General features: G+C 52.3%; 1 protein-coding gene across 12 annotated transcripts, besides 4 other annotated features; it reads right to left on the bottom strand.

The window, feature by feature from the left end:
- TRMU (tRNA mitochondrial 2-thiouridylase) lies at positions 109-21,735 on the bottom strand. Of its 12 annotated transcripts, none has more exons than NR_104240.2 (11): positions 21,603-21,735; positions 19,505-19,670; positions 14,081-14,187; positions 10,905-11,027; positions 6,986-7,103; positions 5,275-5,328; positions 5,119-5,185; positions 3,582-3,682; positions 1,861-2,005; positions 1,377-1,459; positions 109-607 (listed from the first exon to the last, which is right to left on the bottom strand). NR_104240.2 is itself a non-coding variant. In NM_018006.5 (11 exons), the coding sequence occupies exons 1-11, from the start codon at positions 21,682-21,684 to the stop codon at positions 443-445; spliced, it is 1,266 nt and encodes a 421-aa protein (NP_060476.2). In that variant the 5' UTR covers positions 21,685-21,735; the 3' UTR covers positions 109-442. The 12 variants fall into 12 exon arrangements, 10 of the variants coding, with proteins under 10 accessions (NP_060476.2, NP_001269714.1, XP_011528574.1 ...); NM_018006.5 differs by having other exon boundaries at positions 6,986-7,158; NR_104241.2 differs by lacking the exon at positions 14,081-14,187.
- Positions 21,146-21,645: an enhancer, noted in NCBI's record as "H3K27ac hESC enhancer chr22:46731701-46732200 (GRCh37/hg19 assembly coordinates)". NCBI's record gives its function as "activates a minimal SCP1, AML or CMV promoter by ChIP-STARR-seq in naive and primed H9 embryonic stem cells {active_cell/tissue: H9 hESC(naive and primed)}" and the evidence as "EXISTENCE:reporter gene assay evidence [ECO:0000049][PMID:30033119]".
- Positions 21,146-21,697: a biological region, named in NCBI's record as "H3K27ac hESC enhancer GRCh37_chr22:46731701-46732200".
- Positions 21,288-21,337: a silencer, noted in NCBI's record as "silent region_13910". NCBI's record gives its function as "represses an Ori minimal core promoter by ATAC-STARR-seq in GM12878 lymphoblastoid cells {active_cell/tissue: GM12878}" and the evidence as "EXISTENCE:reporter gene assay evidence [ECO:0000049][PMID:35858748]".
- Positions 21,478-21,697: an enhancer, noted in NCBI's record as "active region_19235". NCBI's record gives its function as "activates an Ori minimal core promoter by ATAC-STARR-seq in GM12878 lymphoblastoid cells {active_cell/tissue: GM12878}" and the evidence as "EXISTENCE:reporter gene assay evidence [ECO:0000049][PMID:35858748]".

Here is a 23,831-nt window from a genome sequence, read left to right as displayed (position 1 = left end):
GGTACGCAGGTTGCCATGGCTGCGTCTGCAGTCCACCTGCCTTTCCACGCCAGGGAGTCAGTGATGTGGAGCCCCCTGGGCCCCAGTGGAAGCAGCGATCAGACTATGTGTCCTTGAAATAATGTTTATTCCACGCTGTCCCGACAGCCCCCTCTGCAGGTCCCCTCGGTGTACTCTGAGGTGGGAAACCCTCCCTGGGGGCGGTGAAGGGGAACTCGGGCCACCCCACCAGCCAGCAGATGCTCCAGCAGCCAGAGCCCCAGCCTGGAGCTGAGGCTCTTCCTGGGGCTCGCCGGGCCCCTGCAGGCTTTTCGGACCCTCAGCCAGCCCGGCTTCCTCTGCTTTGGGCAGCAGCAAGCTGGCCCTTGGGCACCTGGACTGCTCACCAGCCGCCCAGCCATGGGTCCTGCTCTCCAGGTTCCTTCTAGCAGATCCATCTCTGTCAGAGCAAGGGACTCAGGCCTGGACCATCTTCTGGGCTGTCACTGGGGCTCTCAGTGGCCATCCCAGCTCTGCGCTGGCCCTTCTGGAGCGTGTAGGCAGACGGCCCCAGCCGCAGGATCTTCCCGCTGCCCAGGCACTCGTCCCCCTTGTAGAACACAGCAAACTGTAGGGGAGAGACCCTGGCATCAGGGGTGCCACAGGGAGCCAGCCGAGGGCAGGCAGGGGCAGAGTGCTCCCCTATGGGGCCTGGCCTGTGCTCGGAGCACCAGGCACTGAGCTCCCAGGGGAGCAGGGTTTTGCTGCTGCTGCTGCTGCTGAACAGGAGAGGAGAGGCCTGGGGCACCCAGTGGCTTCACTAGGGAGGGTCTTCAGGGTACCTCTCCCTGAGTGGGACAGTCACAGGGGCCTCTCCTGGGACTCCAAGGGACTGGCAGGTCTCTGCACCCCTTGGGAATGTGGAGCTGTGACAGGAAGGAGCATGGTGGCAGCCAGAGGATGCTTCCGCTTCCCTCACCCCAGGTTCCCTCCCACCACCTGCCCCTGGAGATTCCTCAGGCCTACACCCACCAGGCGCCCACCCTGGGAGCTCCTGCACACTCGGCCCACAGGGGCCCCGACCCTCTGCCTCTTTGAGCACTGTCCTCATGCCCCTTCCATTTTCTGTCCTCGCTTCTGGGGCCCGGGCAGCAGCTGAGCCTCTCAGGGCCCGAGCAGGAACTGGCTGGTTGGTGACACCAGAGTGGAAATCCTCTCACAGTTGTCACTGTGGGAGGAGCCCCCAGGGCAGGGCTGGTGGCACTCTGCCCTCACCAGCTGTGTGACCCGAGCACACCCTACTCCTGGGCCTCAGCCCCTTCCTCTGTAACCCGGGTGCCCTGGCAGGGTGCAGAGCAGTACAGTCCTCCCCGGGCTCACCCCCACACCCCACGCACCTGTCCTGTGGCAAGGGCACGCACAGCCTGCACAGCTGTCACCCACACGGTGCCATCTTGATTGAGGGTCAGCACACAGGGCACTGGGTAGAAGAGAGGGGCCCTTGGAGGGGGCACAGGCCTTTCCTGGTCGACCTCAGGCCCCCAGGGAGAAAGGAGCACCAGCCCACGGGGTCAAAAACCCCTGCTTAGAGGGGAAGGGCAGGGCACCAGCCTGGGCCCTGGACGCAGCAGGACACTGCGGGGCAGTGTACACACTTGCTTCAGCCCAACACGCCGGGGCCTGCCTGCATCTGCTCCCAGCACCCCCAGGCCTCGCTCAGGGCAGGCACAGGACACGGGAGTTCTAAATACTTTAGGTAATCTCCAAATGATCTCCACAACGGGACTTTCCTACCCCAGGGTCTCCCATCCCTGGCCCAAATCTGGCCTCAGGAAGCTCAGCTTCAAGGGGCCCGTCCTCAGGAGCCCTCCCGTCAGTCACCTAGTGCCATCTGGTGGCGGAATCGGAAGTGGCACTCCATCATCTTGTCCCGGACCAGTGCTGCGGGAGGCTCCTCCGCAATCCAGTGCACGCGGCTGGTCCTCAGCAGGTCCCTGTACAGGGCTGGGTGGTCTGTCCGGGGGGCCTGCAGAATGGAATGTGAAGGTGGGGACGCCGAGGGGCACCTGGCCCCAAGGCCGGCCTCAGTGTGGTCCCTGGGAACAACTGTCCTACCAGCACACACACACACAGGTAACGGTGCTGGCACCGCTCGAAGTGTTCTACCCACAGAAATTCATCTCATCACCCGCCGGGCCTTTGAATCCCCATTTTACAGATGAGGAGACTAAGGCCCAGGAAGGAAGTACCATGTCAGAGTGGGCAAGAGGCAGGGGTGAGATCCGAGCCCATGACAGTGAATGCTGCAGGTTCAAGTCTGACTCAGGCCCTCTACCTGCAACCACCTGTGGGGCAGCAGCACGGCCCCCCTCGAGGACTGGTTTTTCTATTCGCAGGGACAGGGGCCAGCCACACCACGGGCTCTTCTCTCAAGGCCACCCCAGGAATTCCTCCACACACCAAATGGCTGAGGAGAAAGGAGGGACTGGTAGCTGCTGGCTTCCCACAGGTGCCCCAGGACTGGCCCTGGTCTGGGGGGCCCCAGATACCCTAGGTTGGTTCTGAGGCCCCTGCTCCCTGTCACCCACCCATGGCCTCGGGCCATTGAGACCTGGCACCTCCTGGGATTGTGCCAAGCCCCGCCCCTGAAGCAGGACGAGGAGCATGAAGTTAAGGGCTTTGGGTTCTAAGCAGGCACCAAGACCCGTCCAGGGACAGGAGGCCGTTGGTTAACCCTTCTGGTCTTCTCACAGCAAACTGAAATCTAGATCATTTAATTCATTCGCAGCCAGGCTTTTCTCCCCACAGGTCTTCCTAGTAAGGAGATGTCCTGGAATCGGTGGGTGGGGCCTGCTGGCCCCCGCCTCCGTCTAAGAGAAGGCGCCCCAGCATTCGTGCCAGAACATGAGCCGGCAGCCAGGGTGCTGAGAGTGGGCCTTCTCAGCTCCACGCGCCAAGGTGGAGGCCGGGTCACTCAGGGAAGAGGCTGTGCTGAACACGGCAAGCAGCATCCCCGGCCTGACCCACAGATGCAGCAGCACCCGCGTCCTTGCTTTTCCACCCAAGCTGTGACAACCAAAAATGCCTCTAGACACTGGCAAGGTCCCCTGAAGGTGGGGTGAGCTTGCCGCCACTGAGCGGCCCTGCTTTGAGGCCAGGGTCACAGTGGTAAGGTCCCCACTGTGGTGGAAGGCTTGGTTTGATCCTGGCTTGGCCATCTGCACCTGCCTGACAACAACTCACTGGATCCTACCATGGTGGGCACCATCCTTGGCACTGAGGCCATGCCCTCTCCACCGGATGAGCCACCCAAGCTCTGGGCGTCGCTGTCCTCTTTCATAAAATTGGAGAAACTGTATCTGTGTATCGGGGTTCAGGGATGATTAAGAGACCAGCATACAACTCAGCCTAATGAATACCTTAAAACTCTCCTGCCACCATGGCCAGTCCCAGGAAAGGCAGGGGACCAAGGACAGGAACAGAGTTAGTCACAGCCTCCAGGAAGCCACGGCTGCTGGAGGCCTTCTCAAGCCCTGGTCTGGAAGCACTGCTGGCCCTGCCAGAACCAGCCCCAGTGCTGTCTCAGAGGCCGGCCCACTCACCACAAACACGTCACCCTTGACGCTGTCCTTCTCCACCACGTACCAGGGCTCTCTCAGGCCACCTATGTTTGCTCTCTGGCCCAAGGTATACAGGAACCAACCTACAGAAAGACAGTTTCTCCATGAGGCTGGGCAACAAGTTACAGCCCACATGTCACGCCTCATCATGAAGGCAGATGCTGGGAGGGCAGCCCAGAGCAGGCCCAGCAATGGTGTAACTCACTAGGAAGATACGATTCTCCAACCACCAAAGCCAGCCCTGACCAAGCACCTGAGCACATCTCATCATTGTCCAGGCCTGGGCTGGACATGGGGTGTGGTGGCCACAAAGAAGGCACCTTGTGCCCCAGAAGGTGCAGGTTCCAGCTGTAGGAGCCCCTGACCCTAGGCCCAGGATGCGGCTGGGTGCCCTGTGTGACGCCAGGGGCCCTTCTTGCTGAGCCCATGACATAGCTGCACGTCTTCACAGTGTCCATCTAATGCAGTAACTGCATCAGGGCTACCCCCAGCTGCTCTGCGCACCCTCACAATGTCACACAGCAGATGGCAAACTCACTGCCTCCCTCCCCTGCAGTGGGGCACACAGGCAGAGAGAACCTCATGGGATTTACCACGTGGCCTGGGCCGGCAGCCTTCTTCAGTGAAGTGAACTGCAGGTGGAAGCCATGAGTCATCCAACTGGCTCCTGCTGGGGCCAGGGCTGGCAGATACATGGGCAATCCTGTCTGGCAGTTCTGTCCCAAGCAAAGCTGTCACCTCCACCTGTCTCAGGAATGCCTAGCCCCGGCTCCGCCTGCCGTCTCCCCTCCACAAGAGGTGGAAGATCTCCAAGTGCAATTCACTGCAAGACGCCCTACACCTGAGCTGCAGCCTGGCTCTCCTGGCCAGTCCCACAGCTCAGGTCTGTGCTGTGTCAAGACCTGCCTGATCATCACGCCGGCAGGCACATCCCCGCCACTGTACTAACCCAACAATGGCTGCACTCTGTCCCCACAGCAGGACTGCACACTGTGACTGACTCGGAGCCTGTCCCCTGACACCAGGCACAGCACAGGCTCACGCAGGCCTCACCGCAGTAAGGGTCTGCACATGAGCGAGCAGCACTCTGGCCAGCGCGGACGCCTGATCCCATCGCTGCATGTGGTCCTTAATCATTCACACCATGCCGGGACGTCCACCTTACTCCCTGAATCAGAGTGGAGTTTTGTGTAGTTTAACATTTTCCTTACACAGGAAGGAAATCATTCTTTTTACAGGGACTTGATACGTAACTCACAGAGTATAGTCCTTCCAAGTCAGAGGCGCGCTTTTCATGAACTCCAGCATCTCAGCTGAGGCCACATCTGGAAGTGCACCCAGCCACCATCAAGGCAACTGTTCCACCCTAGGCCGTGCCCGCCCCCGGCCGCCCCACAGAGCCTTCTACAATTCTCCAGCCAAGTGGAAGGGACGACAGGAACTCTGGTCTAGTCTCCCAGAGCTGAAACGCCACAGCTCTAGGCATTTCAGATGACAAGTGGCAGAGTCTGCACCTCACCTTTATGTGTTCCCAGAACCTTATTGTCTTCTATGGAAATAAAGTGACCAGGTCGAGGCTGCAGATACTGGAAAACAAACATGTCATTACCGACGGAGATCTAGGCCCAGGGCAGACACGCAGCCCCATCTCTTTGTGTCAAAGAGCAGCACGCACCTGAAGAAGGAAATGTTCAAAATTCCTCTTCCCGATGAAACACATGCCCATGCTCTGAAATGAGAAGACGGCAGCCGTGAGAGGAGCAGAAGTGGCGGTGGCCCAAGCTGTACCCAGACGTCCTGAGCGGGCCCTGGGGCCTCCCGGCCTCACCCCACACTTTGCTTCCAGGGTAGGGGCCCGGCTGCCCACCGGCACCCTCGGCCGCCAGTCACAGCCGGCGCACACGATGCCAGAGCCTTAGAGAACGCCTCATTGTCTCGGCCCGCGGGGTCTGACCCTGCGCGGGAGACCCTCACACCAGCTGCCCCGGGGAAGAAAGCAGAACCCGGTCAGGTCCTTCAGGCCACTGTCCTGCGAGGAGTGGGGGAGAGACAGGGACCAGAGAAGGGGCAGGTAGCAGGAAAGCCAGGCCTGAAGCTAAGGCCTTAGGGGAGGGCTCCAGGGGAGTCAGAGGAGAGAGGCGCCTTCCTCAAGCACATCTGCCCTAGCTGGGGAGCCTGGGTGGCGTGCGCTCTCCACCGTGGCCCCATCAGGGGCTGCATCGTTTACTCTGGTTTGTGTCTCTCAAGACTGCCCTTCCATCCCTGCGGCTCCCACCACAGAGCGACACCGGAAACGGAAAACAAGAGGAGAGGAGGACGGGCGGTGGGCGTGCTCTTCAGGGAAGATGGCTCTGATGAAAGGTATGGCCGTTTCCATTACCAGGAAGAGACACGAAGGAGCAACAGCTCCCACCGCACTGGCCCCTGAAGAGGTGAGGCTCATCCCACAGCGCCCTCGCCCTCCATCCCCAAGGCCCTCCCACGGGCTTCATCCTAGTTCCGCCAACACTCCGGGTTCTCTCTTTTTGAGACGAGTTTCGCTGTGTTGCCCAGGCTGTCCTCAAACTCCTGGGTGCGCTCGATCCTCCTGAGGAGCTGGGGCCACAGGCAGGCACCCCCACAGCGGCTCCCTGGCTTCTCCTCGCCTCAAGGCCTTTGCACTGCCGTTCCCTCATCTGGACTTTCCCAGCCCTCTCTGGGACACCGGATCCTCTCCTCCTTCAGGTCTCAGGTTCCATGTGACTTCTTTTGAGGCCGTTTTTGGCATCTCCATTCCCTACTCTCAGACCCCACTGGTGCTTCCCACCCAGGGTCCTACACCTCCCTCCGTAGACATTTTCTAGGTTTACACTGATTGGCCTCCTGCCTGTGTCCCCCACTCGCGGGCGGGCTCCATGGAGGCGAAGATGGAACTGTGTGCGCGTCACCAATTCCTCGCGGCCCAGCAGCACAGCGCCCGAACAGATGGCACCGAACGAGTCTGTGCCGGGCAAGCGGGTGACAGGGCACATGAGTGTGCAGACGGCGGCACAGCACCTGCCCCTCCAGGGGTCTCGGGGCTGCATCACACTGCCTGGCACTCACCTGGCAGGCAGGCCATCCCAAGAGCACCCCACCAGCTGCTAAGGCTGTGGGGAAAGCTGCCTACCACATAGGGGCAGAGGAGAGGAAAAAAGCAAGGAGTCTCGTATAGGCTGCTCCCGATGTCAGCAGAGCCCTGTACCGTGCGCCTCAGCAAACTCCTCCATCTATTGCTCCAAGGCCCGCCTTTGATGTTAGGTCCTGGAGAAGGGGAAGTGGTGCGGGACCCACAGGTCCAGCTGCTCCGTGCCATGCAGTCGGGAAAGGGAAACAGGCACTAATCAAAGGCAACTGCTCACTCGTACCTCTTTCTTCTGAAGCACATGATGAAGTCTATTCTCAGCAGCGATTTTCTTTACAAACTCTTTCGTTAATCCCCCCAGAGGGAAGATGGTTCTCCTCAGGGCATCCTGGGAAACCTGGCTGAGAAAGAAGGTCTGGTCTTTAAAGCTGTCAGCTGCCTGGAGGAGTTTTACCGCTGCCAAGAATAAAGAACAAAAGACGATGCAGGAATAAAAATAATGATACTTCACTTTCAACAATGTCCTTCTGTTCACTTAGACAGACTACCCCTAGCCTGTCAGAGGCAGACATCAACACTCAATAGCAACTACTAGGGAAAAGACCACCACGGGTTAATGTAAGAAAAATTCGCACCTCCAAAAAAAAAAACAAGGATTTTACATGACAAAGAAATTATTCCAGCTCATACTTCAGATTATAATATTTTCAAAGATGAAACATCACATGAAAAAATGTTCTCAAGTGATAAGAAAAAAAAAAAAAAACACCTAAAATAAATTCAGCCAAATCTTGGAAAATGGAGTAAGCTAGTTGCTGGCAGAAAATTCCACTGATATAGTGTCAGCTGTGCCTTCTTCCAACAACCACAGGATGTGTTCGTGCCACAGTGGTTTCAAGGACTCTACACTTTCCAGGTTCACTGCCCGGCGGCCAGCACATGCCTCCAGCAGCGCCCTACCTGTGAAGGCATTAGCTTTCTTGGTAAAAACGTTTTTTTGTTGAGAGTCTCAGCTGACATCTGTTAGGTGACCCTGCAGTTCCTCCGACATTCCCTATGTGATTGTAAAGAACCATTTCTGGCTTTAAGGCAACGGAGCAGAGGTGTGAGTAAACCTGGCTTAGAACCGTCCAGTTCTCCACTCTCGAGTTCAATGATCAATGGCAAAAAACTAAGACGAACGTCAGTTTTCTGGCTTCTTTCAATCTTTCTCATAAACTTCTCCTTTCGAGTTACACTCAGAGCACGCCACATGCCGTGACGGTCAGACAGCACACCTACCCTTCCTGGCTTGGCAGAGCCACGTGTACAGTACACACTCTGCGTAGCTAGTGTTTTCCATCTGCCGATTCCCACGTTAGCCGTGAGAGGGAGAATTCTCCCCACGTTACAGAGGGGAGACTGGAGCCGGCCCAGTTCATCACATATGACTCGCCCAAAGTGATGCAGGTGGAGGCGGTGGGGCTGGAGGCTGCCCAGCCTCCCGAGTCCCCCTCCCTTACTTGGCAGGTACAAACAGCAGAACTGAGTGACAAGTGAGACCAAGTTCAGCCGACCAGTCGCCACGGAAGCAGAGCACTTTCCAGAGTCCACTTTTTTTTTTTTTTTTGAGATGGAGTCTCGCTCTGTCGCCCAGGCTGGAGTGCAGTGGCACATCTCGGCTCACGGCAATCTCCGCCTCCTGGGTTCAAGTGATTCTCCTGTCTCAGCCTCCAGAGTACCTGGGACTACAGGCATGTGCCACCATACTCGGCTAACTTTTTTTTTTGTATTTGTAGTAGAGATGGGGTTTCACCATGTTGGCCAGGCTGGTCTGGAACTCCTGACCTCATGATCCGCCTGCCTTGGCTTCCCAAAGTGCTGTGATTACAGGCATGAGCCACCGCACCTGGCCTCAGAGTCCACTTTCAATCCCAAACTAACTGCAGTCAAACACTGCATGTGTGTAAAAGCCTCAGAAAACTAGGAGCCATTTGCATTTTCTCCTAGTTCTGCGTCATTTTAAAACAAACTAAAAATCTATGATTTTCAAAAAAGCAAGCTGGCGACCCTAACTGAACTGCTATAGAGGAAAAAGCACAGAAAGGAATGAACAACATTTGGAGGAGGCTGCCTGTGCTGGAGCCTCACTGACACGCCGGCTGCCGTGCTGGCTCTGCCAGGCCGGTGGTAGCACGCTGTGTGGGGGAAAATCAGCCCAGTCACAGGCCAGGCCTAGGAGCGCTGGTCTCAGGTGCTGACCGACCCTGAGCCCAGGCCGTCCACTGCCCCTGCAGGTGCTCTACCCAGAGACCCAGGCTGGGCCAGGGCAACTGAAGAAGAATGAAATGGAAACCTTAGTGTGCCTACAAAACCCAGTGAAGGCCAAGACACTGTGCACCATCACAATTCCCACATGCCAAACGCACTCAACAGAACGCATCAGTACTGTCCCAAGTTTCCGAGGGCACGTGGCCTATAATAAAGGTCGATGGCTCTGCAGGGCACACAGTGTTCTAGGAGGTAATGTTCTAGGAGGTAAGCAGGCGCATCTATTCAACATGGAAATTAACCCTCCATCTCCTCAGGCCCCGTAAATGCACAATTACTTGGTGAATTCCACCCTGGAGTTCCCAAGTGGCAGGACTCTGCATTCCAACCCATGTCTTCCTGAAATGGGGGGCTGTCTTATCTGCATTCAAACCCATGTCTTCCTGAAATGGGGGGCTGTCTTACGGGAGTGGGCTGCTCTTCTCTGGGCTCAAGTCAGTACAGTTACCTGATCACCCTGTGGCATAAGGAAGGAAGGCGAGGAGGGAACAGAGGGCGGCAGACGACTGTTGGCACACTCAGGGCTCCCTTGACCAAGCACGGCCCTGCCCCATCACTGCAGCCTTCAGGATGGGCTCAGCAACGCTGAGGAAAGAACTCAGCTGGGGCCTGACCCAGCAGAAGCAGCAGGGGCTGGGGAGTGAGCGGAAGTGCACTGAAATCCAGCTCTGCCACCCGAGGGACCCAGGTCAGATGGCTTCATCCGGGCCTCGGTTTCCTCATCTGTGAAACGGGATGAGAGCATACACCTCATGGACTGCTAAGAGGAGTGATGTGAAACGTGTGAGGCCGGGCTTGGTGGCTCACACCTGTAATCCCAACACTTTGAGAGGCCGAGGTGGGAGGATCGCTTGAGCCCAGGAATTCAAGACCAGCACGGACAACATTAACGAGACCTCATCTCTACAAAAAATGAAAAAGCCGAGCATAGTGGCGCACACCTGTGGTCCCAGCTACTTGGTGGGGCTGAGGTGGGAGGATCACTTGAGCCCAGGAGGTGGAGGCTGCAGCGAGCCAAGATCGGGCCACTGTACTCCAGCCCGGTTGACAGAGTGAGATCCTCTCTCAAAAAAATAAAATTAATAATAATAATTAAAAAAGAAATGTGTGTATGTAAAGCCCTGCCCCAGCCCCAGAGACCCCTATTCCCCAGATGGCGGGACAAGGCTCCCTCCAACATCTGAACTTCCGGACAAAAGAGCAAGGCTGCCCTTCAGGGGTCCCCACTGATGGACGGACGCTCCGTGCGGAAACACGGCTCTGAGCCCCACTTGGTTTTTCACTCAACAATACAGGGAATTCCTCTTTTCTACACACGAATGTACACCAGGACAGGCCAGCAGCTTCCCAGCTCACTGTCTGCCATTGACTTTTTTCTAGAAAGGTGAAACTTGGCTCCCTAACACGCATAAACTAACGTGTAAATACGGCTACAAAGCCTGACTGCTGAGCCCATGCGATCCACAGCAGGTCCTGTGCTCACAGCACGTTGAAAGTCTGCCTGAACCGCACGCCCTTGAGAACTTGTTGCTAAGTACAGGTCCTTGGCTAGACTGACAGCACCCCAATTATCACTGTCAAATATTTACCCAGATATTTTTGGAACATTCAAATCACCACACAGTGTCGAGAGCTGGATTATCAGTATCTGATGTCACTTTCCACCAGCCCTCACCATGGCCGGCAGGGACACTGTTTACTACCCAATCACAGGCCCTCCGGGAAAATGTCCTCTTGGTAACTGCACCTTTTCAAATGTGAATCCCATACAAGCTACTCTGGAGCACAGAGGGAGGGGTGGCAGTGATCCTCAGGCACAACCCACTGTCATTCCTCCAAAGATTTCAATCTGTTCACAAGAATTTGGCTCTGACCTGGGCACATGAACTTACCATTTCTAACTTCAAACCGATTTCTGAAAAGCCCTTCGGGCTTCTTAACGTGCTTCTGCTCAAAGACTTCTTCATCTTCCAGGGAAGTTCTTGCATAGTGACCTGTGGCAATGGCATCTGCCCCTGTGAGGTTTTTAGAACACAAGGATCAGGTTTTAGACTCATACTTGCAGGCCTTGATCAGCATAAACCAAGGCACAAAAGAAGAGTATAGACCCCAAGTCTTAGGCTGAGGGGCTGCACAATCCACCCTGCACCCAAACATAGAGATCCCAGGGAACAGACGCACACATCCAATTTCATCAAACAAGCAGCCTTGAACTCTTAAGCTGATACAACCTTGCTACTTAAAGTGTTATTGCACCTTTAAGAGCCTTTCCAAAGTTAATTTCTGGCTTAAGGAAACAGTCTGAAAGGCACAGAAAGATTTAAACACAAAATATTCCTTTCAGGGTTTGTGATAATACGAAGGGAGGCCAGGCGCGGTGGCTCATGCCTGTAATCCTAGCACTCTGGGAGGCCGAGGCGGGCAGATGATTGCTTGTGCTCAGGAGTTCAAGACCAGCCTGGGCAACATGGTGAAATCCCACCTTTACAAAAAATACAAAAATTAGCCAGGCGTGGTGGGGCACACCTGTAGTCCCAGCCACTTGGGAGGCTGAGGTGGGAGGATTGCTTCAACCTGGGAGGTTGAGGCTGCAGGAAGCCAAGACTGCACCACAGCACTCTAGTCTGGGCAACAGAGCAAGATGCTGTCTCAGGAGGAAAAAAAAAAAAAAAAGAACCAAAATGTTCAACACTGGGAGAATGTGAAGTGAATGACAATGCACTGCCGTAACAATGGGGGTCCTTACAGAGAATGTTTACTAACACGGGAAAATGCCCGGCACTGTTCAGCAGGGCGAGGATGTAACACCATGATTCCACGGTTTTTACTGTACAGAAACAGTTGAAGAAAAATCTCAGGTCTATTCCTTTGATTCTGAGAGTGAAATTATAGGTGTCGTTTCTCCTCTTTTAAATTTTCTGTAATAAATATGTATTATTTTCATCAGAGTGAAGAATCATCCAGCACACTGTTTCTTCTTTTCATATTACACAAAGCCAAAGAGCCTAACAAGGTGCATATGAATCCAGAACCTTTTCATTGTGTAAAAATTCCAGATATTTGGGCCAGGCGCAGCGGCTCACGCCTGTCATCCCAGCACTTTTAGGAGGCCGATGTGGGTGGATCACTTGAGGTCAGGAGTTTGAGACCAGCCTGGCCAACATGATGAAACCCCGTCTCTACAAAAAAAGTACAAAAATTAGCTAGACATGTTGGTGGGCACCTGTAATCCCAGCTACTTGGGAGGCTGAGGCAGGAGAATTGCTTGAACTCAGGAGGTGGAGGTTGCAGTGAGCCGAGATCACACCACTGCACTCCAGCCTGGGAGACAGAGTGAGACTCCATCTCAAAAAAAGAAAAAATTACAGATATTTAGTATTGCAAGAGACTTTTATGAAAGGTGCAGCAAAATGGATTCCATCCTGGACCAACCACACTAGCTCAGTGTAAACAGAAGACACAGCCATCCTGGACCAGCCACACTAGCTCCATGTAAACAGAAGACACAGCAAGAATTAGCTGCTGCATATTAACGACCTGAAAAAGGCACTTTAGAGACACATAATCTCATCTTGACTGAGGTTCTCCTAGAGAAAACAATCCACTTTACATCTGTGTCCTCAAAGAACAGCACTTATACTAGAAAAAGCGCAGGATGCCTCTGAGAAGCGCGGTGAGTTCAGAAGTCTGGGCGTCATGTCCTCTCATCCTGTGCTGCACGGTTCATGCCTTTCTTCCAGGTGTGGAAACATTCACTGCAGAAGTTCCTTCCACAGCGTGCCTGACAGCCAGCCACCTAGGGGCTCCCTAAAAAGCTTTCGTGACAGCTTAATGCTCTCCAAAGGCAAGCCTTCCCTTCCTGAACAGCTGCCTGCGCCTCCACCTCAGGGAACTCTTTCTCCTGCCAGTCCTAACTGTCTGCTGGTGTCACACAAAGAATGTCATCCTAACTCACACGCTTGACCACTGCCACTACGACCCAAAGTAATTTCAACAGTTCAGGGAGGACATATTTCCAGATACCCTGAAAATAAAAATCAATTCACATTCTATCAGTCTATCACTCTTTTCCTGAATAACTAATACGGTCTAACCAGGACGGACCACAGGGGACGCATCACCCCTTCCTAGACATTCTATGATCATCAAGGTGAGCTCCGTCTGTGCTGGCTCTGACAAAAGACATCACACTACTGGCTCAGTCAGCCTGGGGGCACCTAAATCCCCCAGATTTTCTGCAACCAATGGCAGAAGATTCAATGGCAACCAAGCTAGGTCTTTCCAATCTTGTCCTAGGAGAATTACTGAACCTAGTTAGCAAACTTTGCATTTATCTCTATTAAGTTTCATGTTTTTGGTGTTAGCCCAATGTTGAAATTTAAGATTTTTCTTTTTGATTTTTTGTTTTTGTAGGCATTTGTTTATTCCTAACTCCACAAACTAACTTTCATCATTATCATCAACTCAGCTTTAGGTTGCTGACATATTGAATCTGCAAGCCTAATCTACATCATTGCTGAAAGTGCCGACACTACTGGGCCCCTGGCTTACAATGGTATCTCGTAGCAACACACAACAGGGTGAGCTGCAGTGGGACAGAGCAAACCAAGAAGCCTGAGCCAGAACTTCAGAAACTCATTATGGTGACCCCAATGGCAGGGGACAGGAAGAAGAACCTAAAATTCATAAAGCATAGCCACAGACATCAAGAGGTGGTCTAAGCAAGCAATTCAGTATCAGGAGGTTCCACAAGAAGAAACAGGCTAGGCACAGGGGCTCACGCTTGTAATCTCAGCACTTTGGAAGGCCGAGGCAGGAGGACTGCTTAAGGCCAGAAATCTGAGACCAGCCTGGACAATACAGTTGTGACACCATCTCCACAAAAAATTAGCCACCATGGTGGCATGCCTGTGGTCCAAGCTACTCAGGAGCCTGGGGTGGGAGAATCTCTTGAGCCCAGGAGGTCGAGGCTGCAGTGAGTCATGATCGCACCACTGCAATCCAGCCTGGGTGACAGAGCGAGACCCTGTCTTTAAAAAAAAAAATGTTTTAAACCCAAATTACTTACCAAGATTATCCACAGCATAATGAAAAAAGCAACTAAATTTGATGTGCTTGTTGCAAACTATGTCAGGATTGGGAGTCCTTCCTTTTTCATACTCATTCAAAAAGTCACTAGAATAAAAGAAAATGACTTCAGTTCCAAGTGTGAAACATTCCTCAAAAAAAAAAAAAAAGTTCACTAAATTGCTTGTTTAATGTAATTTCCCCTTGTCATACCAAAACTATAATTTTCTGCAAAACAGGAGAACGTCAGTCATCGAACATTTGTTTATAACCTGCTGCATGGGCCACCCGACAAGGTGTTATTCTCTGCCACTACGGCTCAGGAGCCACCGTCTCTGTGTAGGCTCACAGGGCTTATGGGGTCAGGAGTGGGGAGTGGCCGTGAGGGTCTCACTAAAACCCTGCCTCTGGGACTCCTCCAACACAGCAGGGCTTAGGTGAGGAAGAGAAGATGCCTGAGTGACAGTGGAAATGAAATCCTTTAGACTTCCCTTGCAGATTCTCCCACCTCAGCCTTCCGAATAGCTGTGATTACAGGTGCGCAGCACCATGCCCAGATAATTTTTGTATTTTTAGTAGAGACGGGGTTTCACCATGTTGGCCAGGCTGGTCTCCAACTCCTGGCCTCAAGTGATCTGCCCGCCTCAGCCTCCCAAAATGCTGGAATTAGAGGCGTGAGCCACCGCACCTGGCCCACTGCAACCTTTTCTTTTTTTATAGAGATGAGGTCTTGCCATGTTGCCCATGCTGATACTGAACTCCAGGCCTCAAGCAAGTCTCCTGCCTCAGCCTCCTAAAGTGCTAGGATTACAAGCGTCTACCTTTCTGACTGTGGGTCTTAAGACCCTCCCCAGACACAGTCCCACTGTATATCCTGGGGGAAGGAATGGCGATGTCATGAAGCCTCCATAAAAACCCAGGAGTACTGGGTTCAGAGAGCTTCTGCACAGCTACACTTGTGGAGGCTCCTGGAGGGTGGTCCCCAGGGAGGGTGTGGACACTCCATGACCCTTTCCCCATACCTCACCCAACCCGTCTCTTCATCTGTATCCTTTGCAACATCCTTTATAATAAACTGGTAAATGTGTTTTTCTGAGTTCTGTGAACCACTCCAGCAAATTATTAATAATTGAACCCAAAGAGGAAGTTATGGGAATCCCAACTGGAAGCCAGTTGGTCATAAGTTCTAGAGGCCCATACTTTCGACTGCTGTTGTGGGGGGAGTCCGTCTGGGGGACTGAACCCCCAACCTTTGGGATCCAGCACTATCTCCAAGTAGATGGTATCGGAACTGAATCAGAGGACACCCAGTCGGTGTCCACTGCTTGCTGTATGGGGAAAACCCCCCACACCTTTGTCACAGAAGCCTTCTTCCGTGAGGATGACTGCCGTGATGAGAACAGAGGAGAAACACAGTCAGAGGCTTCCCTACACAAGGGCTCCATGAGCCATTCTGCAATCTCAGCCTGGAATGCTGCGTCACTGGGCAAATATACCAAAAATACTATCCTCAGGTGACAAACACACACTTCTGAGAACTAGCAAACTCTTGGGTGCTTAAAGTGGATCAGGCTATCCTAATTCAGTGAACTTCTGCTCTAACAGACTGACTGAACATGGGAAAAAGATGCCATGATACCAGCAAAACTTACCAAGAATTTCATAGTCTTCGAGGATTCACTTCAAGAGGGTTATGATGCCTATTTTGGGAGTTTAAAAATGGGTGTATTTTTGGTATAAGTGATTTTTTTCATTTAACCTAAAACTCTCTATTAATCAACAAGGGTTAAAAAAAAAACCAGTGCTGATCAAGAGGTTTGTGTTTTGCAGACATATCACAGATCTGCACAGGGTCAGAGGTTCCTTGGATATCTTCCACTTTAGCAGGCACCAAACTGTTTTCCTACTTCTCAGTCCCCCTAGAAGTTCATAAAAACTCATGTTTTTCCACATTTGCAACAACACTTGATATTATTACACTCTTTCCATTTTGCTTTAATTATTAGAAAGTTACCAGGAAGCTCATTAAACTATAAACTACTTAAGGTGCAATCTGTGTCTGTGTCCTAGACCCAACAAACTTTCTATATCACAGTCATCAATAAATGTTGAAGAGGCTGAACATTAAAATCAGTTTCTGAAAAGACACACTGTTAACCCTTTCGTAAACAGCAGATGGGAAGGCGTGTGTTTTGGCATTAGCAAAAACAATGGAGTAGCCCAGCCTCTTCTCTAACTGGAAAGAAGAGAAGCCTTTCATGTGCCTCGGGAGGGAGACAGATTTAAAAGACTCAGCAGCTAAAACGTATCTGGACTCTGATCCTTGAAGGCCAGTGGGTCTTGAATGAAAGAATGCAAAAGAAATCTCTGAGCTAGAGAGCCCTACTAGAGAAGTGAGTCTTCAGCGGAAAGACCAATGCCTCCACGGGCAGCTGGTACTGGGCGAGGGCAGAGGGCAGGCTGGCTGGAGCCAGGGGCGACCTCGGGGGCAGCCCCAGAGATGGGAAAAGACTCTACCCGGCCGCCTCCTTCTCTCAGTCCCTATCAAGCAGCGCCAGAAGGCGGCAGCAAGCACTGGCCTGGAAAGCTGGGTTTTAATCCCAGCTCCGCTCCTAATTCTGGGGTTTAATCCCAGCTCCGCTCCTAATTCTGGGGTTTAATCCCAGCTCCGCTCCTAATTCTGGGGTTTAATCCCAGCTCCGCTCCTAATTCTGGGGTTTAATCCCAGCTCCGCTCCTAATTCTGGGGTTTAATCCCAGCTCCGCTCCTAATTCTGGGGTTTAATCCCAGCTCCGCTCCTAATTCTGGGTTTTAATCCCAGCTCCGCTCCTAATTCTGGGGTTTAATCCCAGCTCCGCTCCTAATTTGCCATACTATTCAAGTCACTCTTCCTATCTGGCCTCAGCTGAGCTAAACTTCAAAAATCGCATCCACTCGTACGTTCTGAAAAAGCTGTGCTGGCAGGTGAAGTGTAAGCTCACTTGGATTCCCTGTTGTCCCCTCAAACTCTACAGTACTCATGAGGAATCCCCTAAACCAGCTTTCCCCAGCCACCCAGCCTTGATCTTGAAACTACTGCTGACTCCTCTCCTCTCTGGTCTCCCACACACATCAGTCCCTAAGCCGCATCACACCTTTTCTCAAAGAAAGACCCTGACAACCCCCCACACCACCAGCACAGCTGAAGTGCTTATTAAAGCAGATTCCAGGGCCGCCCCCAGACCTCGGTCCAGGTCTGTGTTTAACAAGCACCTCAGATCTACTGCCCGGTGGACTTGTCCTCTGGGTCCAACAAGCCAGCCCTCACCTTCCACTCCCACACTCCCTCCCCATGAAGTCCAAATCTCCAGCAACAGCACTTCCTGAGACTCTCTGCCTTTGGTCTTCCCCCAGATTTATCCTGTATTTGGCCGCCACACTCTTTTTTTTTTCTTATGTCCCCGAGAAAACTGCAGAAGTTTTTAATGCATTTATCATGCATTCTACAGATAAGTTTTTAATGCATTTATCATGCATTCTACAGGTAACTTTCCCCAGGAAAATTCAGCCATCAGTTTTGTCCATGTTGTTAATATATACGACACCCATATGTTATAGCATAGAGTCACAGAGGGTTCATATTCAAGCTCTTCCGTTGATTATTTAGGTGACCATAGTCAATTTACTTAATCTCTCTAAATTTCGTTTTATTGTTATTTCAATGGTTTTTTGGGCAACAGCTGGTATTTGGTCACATGGATAAGTTCTTCAGTGGTGACTTCTGAGATTTTGGTGTACCCGTCACCCAAGCAGTGGACATTGTACCCGATGTGTAGTCTTTTATCCCTCACCCCAGAGTCCATTATATCATTTTTATGCCTTTGCGTCCTCATAGCTTAGCTCCCCAGACTCATCTTTTTAATAATGAAAATAAAAATAGCAGGCTGGCGTGGTGGCTCACGCCTGTAATCCCAGCACTTTGGGAGGCTGAGACGAGTGGATCTTCTGAGGTCAGGAGTCTGAGACTAGCCCGGCCAACATGGCGAAACCCTGTCTCTACTAAAAATACAAAAATTATCCGGGCGTGGTGGTGCATGCCTATAATCCCAGCTACTTGGGAGGCTGAGGCATGAGAATCGCTTGAACCTGGGAGGCAGATGTTGCAGTGAGCCAAGATTGCGCCACTGCACTCCAGCCTGGGCAACAGAGCGAGGCTCTGTCTCAAAAAAAAATAGAAAAGAAAAACAGCTATGTTTATTGACTGCTTACTAATATACCAGGCATACATACTAGAACCTAATCTCAATTCTTTCATAACCCTGTGAGGCATCAGTGTTATCCTCATTTTAAAGATGAGAAAATTGGGGCTTAGAAAAGTCAAGTATCTCTTCTGGGTCTTTGTTGGCAGGAAAAAAAGAGAATTTTTTTCAATTAAAAAAACAAAGTCAAGTAAATTGCCCAAGGTCATATAATAAGCTACAGTCAGGACTCAACCCAAGGCTCTTCTGCCCCTAAAGCCCACTCAGGCAGGGGCAGCCTGTCCCGCGCACATGGCCTGCTGTGTCAGACGCCTTCGACAACTGCCCGACATTCATCACAGTCAGGGCTCACCAGAGGATGAGCCCTACACTCCTTCCACTGCAGGAACAAAAGTCCAGCCAAACTTTACAACGGTCCTGAAATACACAATCAGCATTTCTTCTCCCCTTCACGCTGCTCTCGTTACCCCATTTGGAGTCCCTTCTCTACAACTTTGTTTGCAACCCCTCCTCTCCGGTGAAGCCTTCTTGATTACTCCACACTGCAAGTTTCTCCCTCCTCTGGGTTCAGTGACTGATAGCATCACTGGTACTTCCTGCGTGCCACGCATCACTGTCACCTCTTGTGAAGATAATGTCCTCCCAACTAGACCGCAAACTCCTACAGAGCCAGGTCACAGTGAAGACATCTTAATGTTCCTAGATGTGGCACACGCCTAGCACACAGCACTTAATTATTGAGATTATATTGGATTTTAGAAAAGTTTTTGTTTGTTTCTTGTTTTCAGAGGCACAGGCCATGTATCACCTCTTTCTCAGAAATCCCCTAATCGCTGACCCACATAGCACACAGGCATTGGTGCTCACCTTCCAGGGGAGCCCTCAGCCTTAGCTCCCCTATCCTAACTGGGCAACAGAAACAGCTCAAGGTCCAAGAAAGCATTAAAGAGACTTCAGGCAAGTGGCAAAATGACAGGAGTGAGAGAGCTGGGTGTGCTGTGGGGTCCAGGCCTCGCCTCTAACACAGAGCCCCGAGGGTGGCTGAGGCCTCTTGCAGTCTTCAGCACCACCGTGGAGGGAGAGCGCTGGGCTGCAGCACAGGCGTCGGTCTGGCTGGTTACCGGATCCTTCCACTGCAAGGATCCACAGTGTGAGGAAGCTTCCTTTGTGCTGTGACCCGCACTCACCTGAACACATCATTCCAATACTCCTTTACGTAGGACACTTGATGGAAAGGGATGTCTAAGATCTGGCAAACTCTGTAAGCATCTTCACAGTCTTTGTCGGCAGTACAGACCCCATGTTCATCCAGTGAGTCCCAGTTCTTCATAAACACCCCTGTCACCTGGTAACCTGCGGGCGGGAAGGTCAATTAAAGAGAATACATAAATCAACCTTCGGTAAAACGGCAGTGATTTCTGAGCTCTGAGAAGTTCCCCACACGCTGTGCTCCTGTGCCTCTGTGCCTGGCCTGCCGGGCAGTCCCTGCTTTGCCATGTGGCTTCAGGGATCCGGTTTCCATCTTGGTGCCTGAGTCCCCAAGATTAACGAGGTGGTATTTTCTCATCTTTGTGTCCCCATCTATGTATCAGCACAATACCTAGCAGGAGGGGATCAGCCAGTGTGTGTGGAATACACGAAGGAATAGTCGAAACTCAACAAAATTTTTCAAAGCACCATTCAGTTATCAAAAAAGGAAACTCTTTTCAAAAGTTATTTCTAGTTACTATCTAAGACTTAGATTCTAAGTGATCAGATATAAAGATAATTAAAATTTTCGATATTTTGTAAGAGCTGTACCACCTAGTTTATGACCTATTTTCTACCTTTTCGATTGTAACAAAATATTCACCCAAATATTGGAAAGGCCAACTTTAGCCCTACACCACCTTAGCAAACTACACAGGTGCAGACCCTGTATGAGAAAGCTGGTTCGTTTAGGTAGGCTGAATGTAATGAAAGACAGGGCAAATGACTGCTGAAGAAGGCTTCATATAGTACCCAAAACAACAGAAATTTGATGACAAAGCTTTGTCAAAACTACACCACCACACGCGAAAGACCACCCCTATCCCAGATCAACCAGACTAATGTCTACCTAACAGTCTAAAGCCCCTGGTATAGCATCTTCCATAATCAGGGCTAAACGTGCTCCAGGCTCCTCTCCTTCCATCTCCATCTGGCCAGAACCAGCCCACACTTGCAGGCCTCTGTGATTCTGCTTGCACTGCTGACTGTGCCGGGAGGGCCGCCTCCACCTCCAAGTCTCTGCTTAGTGACATCCTACTCTTCTTTCGACTCAGCTGAGCACCTCCATCTCTAGGATGCTTTCCTCCACTCTCCCTTCCTCACAACTATTTCTGCTTATGGTCCGCCTACCCTTCTCTTTGGCACTTACTGTACCTACCATAATAGCTATGGTTATTAACAATATAAACTAATAGCCACTACTGTTTTCTGCGTACCTCGTATGTGCTGAGCACGTACTCATCAGTATGTACTATGTCATCTAATCCCTCCAGTCACCCCGTGAGGCAGGTGTTAGCCGAATTTTACAGGGGACGGCTTAATTCACTTGCCCAAGGTCAGGAGCCAAAGATGGCGCAAAGCAGAGCTCCACAAACGTGACTCTGTGAATGAGGCCTCCCGCGGGGAGCCACACAGGTGAAGTTAAACAAGTGCTCATTTCAGCGCCGGGCCCGAGGAATGCTAAGCACCCGTGGGGCTCCGTTTAGATGCCGGAAGAAATGCAAATGCTCCTGGAGAAAACTTTGTCCTCCAGCGAGCGGAGAACACAGGAGACGCTGAACAAGCAGACCCGCCGCGCGGCAGTTGTCCAGTCTGCTGAGTGGGGAGGACAAGGACCTCCCACCGGGCGGCCACAGCGTGTGCAGAGGTCAGGCCCCCGGCCCGGCGATCCCAGCTCCCCTCACCAGTGTCCACGGTCTCACAGGTGAATGTGGACGCCGCAGATCCGTGAGAAACCCTTCCCTCCCCACCCCACCCCGGCCCGCCGGCTTCTCACTGTGGGTGGGCGCGCGTGGGTGGAGAGGGGCGCGGAACTGCTCCCAGGTAGTCGGAGCTGCAGTCGCGCACACCTCCGACTACACAGGTGGAGGGCGAGGAGCCTCCGAACCAAAGTCAGAGGACGGGGTATCCTCCTGCCGACCCGCGCGCAACCAGCGGCCCAGGGAGGGAGGAGACGTGCACAACGCCACGACGGACGGGGACAGGTTTCCGGGGACACATTCGCTCGGCGGGGGGCGGGAGCCTCGGACGCCTCACCTCTCCGCCTCAGCAGCAGCGCGGCCACGGCGCTGTCCACGCCGCCGGACAGGGCGCACACGACGTGCCGCAAGGCCTGCATCCGCCAGTCGCCCAACTTCGCCAGCTGCAGCTACCGCCGCTTCCGCGCCTTGCCGGAAGTCCCGCCCCGGCCGTAGGGTCCGCGCTAGTGGCCCGGCCGGAAGCTGCGGCAGCTTACCCGCGTTCCGTCCGGCCTTCCCCTGTCCCGCGGCGGGTTCCCCTGTCTCCGGCCTGCGCTCACCCCTGAGGCTCCACCGACCCGCGGGGCGCCGAGACTCTGTCGGGCCGCGAGGGGCTGGCTTTTTTTTTGAGCCGCCGCCTTGCCCTCCCCACCCGCGCCCCGGCCTCACTGCTCTTCTTCTGCGCTGTAAACCAAAAATAAAATTCTAAGCCCCCCAGCCAGCCATTGGAGGCCTCCTCTCGGCCAAGGGCGTCCTAGAGGGAACCTGAACCGCGAGTTCGGGCTCTGATGGGAAAGGCCGGGTGGGACCCGCCTCACTAGACCCTCCTCCTCCCTTTGGAATTCGGACCAGCATTAACGTCAAAACAGACTTAAGACTGTCTAGGCGGACTCTCCGTAGCAATAGGATACCGACATGACAGATGGCAGGCCCTGAAAGATATCGAAGTATTTTACAGTATTTTAATTTAATTTAATTTTTAATTAATTAAATTTTTTTGAGATGGAGTTTTGCTCTGTCGCAGGCTGGAGTGTAGTGGGCGCGACCTCGGCTCACTGCAACCTTCACCTCCAAGATTCAAGCGATTCTCCTGCCTCAGCCTCCCTAGTAGCTGCGATTACAGGCGCCCGCCACCAAGCCCAGCTAATTTTTGTATTTTTAGTAGAGACGGGGTTTCACCGTATTTGCCAGGCTGGTCTCTCACTCCTGACCTCAAGGGATCCGCCCACCTCAGCCTCCCAAAGTGGCGGGATTACAGGTGTGAGTCACTGCCCCCGGCCCAGAAAATCTTTGAATCCACCTATGACCTGGAAGCCCCACCCCACCTTCGAGTTGTCCCACCTTTCCGGAACCAATGTTACATCTTACATGTATTGATTTATGGCTTATGTCTCCCTAAAACGTACGAAACCAAAAGCTGTAGCACCACCAGTTTGAGCACGTGTTCTCAGGATCTCCTGGGACTATGACATGAATAAATATCTTCAAATCTTTTACAGTTTGACTCCAAGCATACTCAGCACTCAATCCTTAATGTCTGTGAGGTGTGTTGGACAGGGGTTTTGTGTTCTGTCCACTCCTACTCCATGCCCAGAAAAGCCCCTGGCCCAGGGCAGGTGCTTCATAACCTCGCTGAATAAAGGAAGGAGGAGAGAATGGAGGTCATCCCCCAGGGGTGATATTCAAGCTGAGTTCTTCTCTACGAGTTAGCATCTAGACAAGGTCTACCTAAAGCACAGGGAGACTCTGAACGAAAAAGATGTTCATTTGTGAATAGGGCATTGCAATGGGAATATGCATGCCACAATAAGCTATGTGGGTATTCAGGGAAGTAAAGGAAGACAAAGGTTTTTATTTTATTTATTTATTTTTTTGAGACAGTCTCACTTGGTCACTAGGCTGGAGTGCAGTGGCGTGATCTTAGCTCACTGCAACCTCCGCCTCCCGGGTTTAAGCGATTCTCCTGCCTCAGCCTCCGGAGTAGCTGGGATTACAGGCACATGCCACCACACCCAGCTAATTTTTGTATTTTTAGTAGAGACGGCATTTCACCATGTTGGCCAGGATGGTCTTGATCTCCTGACCTTGTGATCCGCCCGCCTCGGCCTCCCAAAGTGCTGGGATTACACGCGTGAGCCACAGTGCCCGGCCTAGGAAGACAAAGGTTTTTAAAGGGAAAATGAGGATCACATCATTGTTTTGAGATAATTCTTTGGCTACAAAGATCAATAACAAGGGTGACAGCACTCCAGGGTTGGACAAGCAGTTGCTGGGCAGATGTCCTTGCAACAGAAGTTTTTTGTTTTTTTTTTTTTTTTGAGGAAGGTTACGATAGCCTTTGTGTAAAGTTGTGGTTTTTGCAGTCTTTTGTGATAGTTGTTATTATTAGGCACATGTGCATGAGAACCCTCCCTTGTGGTATGAACCCAAAGTACCTGAGACAGGTTTCAATTTAGAAAGTTTATTTTGCCAAGGTTAAGGACATGCCAGTGACACAGCCTCAGGATGATGTCCTGAGGATATGTGC

The sequence above is a fragment of the Homo sapiens genome, chromosome 22 (genome assembly GCF_000001405.40).
Source record: "Homo sapiens chromosome 22, GRCh38.p14 Primary Assembly".
NCBI classification, from domain to species: Eukaryota; Metazoa; Chordata; class Mammalia; order Primates; family Hominidae; genus Homo; species Homo sapiens.
Note: the sequence above shows the minus strand (reverse complement) of the source record. Positions and strands in the feature narration are given on the sequence as shown.

Excerpts from the sequence above, each read along its gene's own strand:
- TRMU (NM_018006.5), bottom strand. The coding sequence starts at position 21,684 with ATGCAGGCCTTGCGGCACGTCGTGTGCGCCCTGTCCGGCGGCGTGGAC. Across the intron at positions 14,188-19,504 it reads TATTGGAATGATGTGTTCAG|TGACTTTTTGAATGAGTATG; the intron begins GTGAGTGCGGGT and ends CTTTTATTCTAG. Across the intron at positions 2,006-3,581 it reads TCAAGGGTGACGTGTTTGTG|GCCCCCCGGACAGACCACCC; the intron begins GTGAGTGGGCCG and ends TCCATTCTGCAG.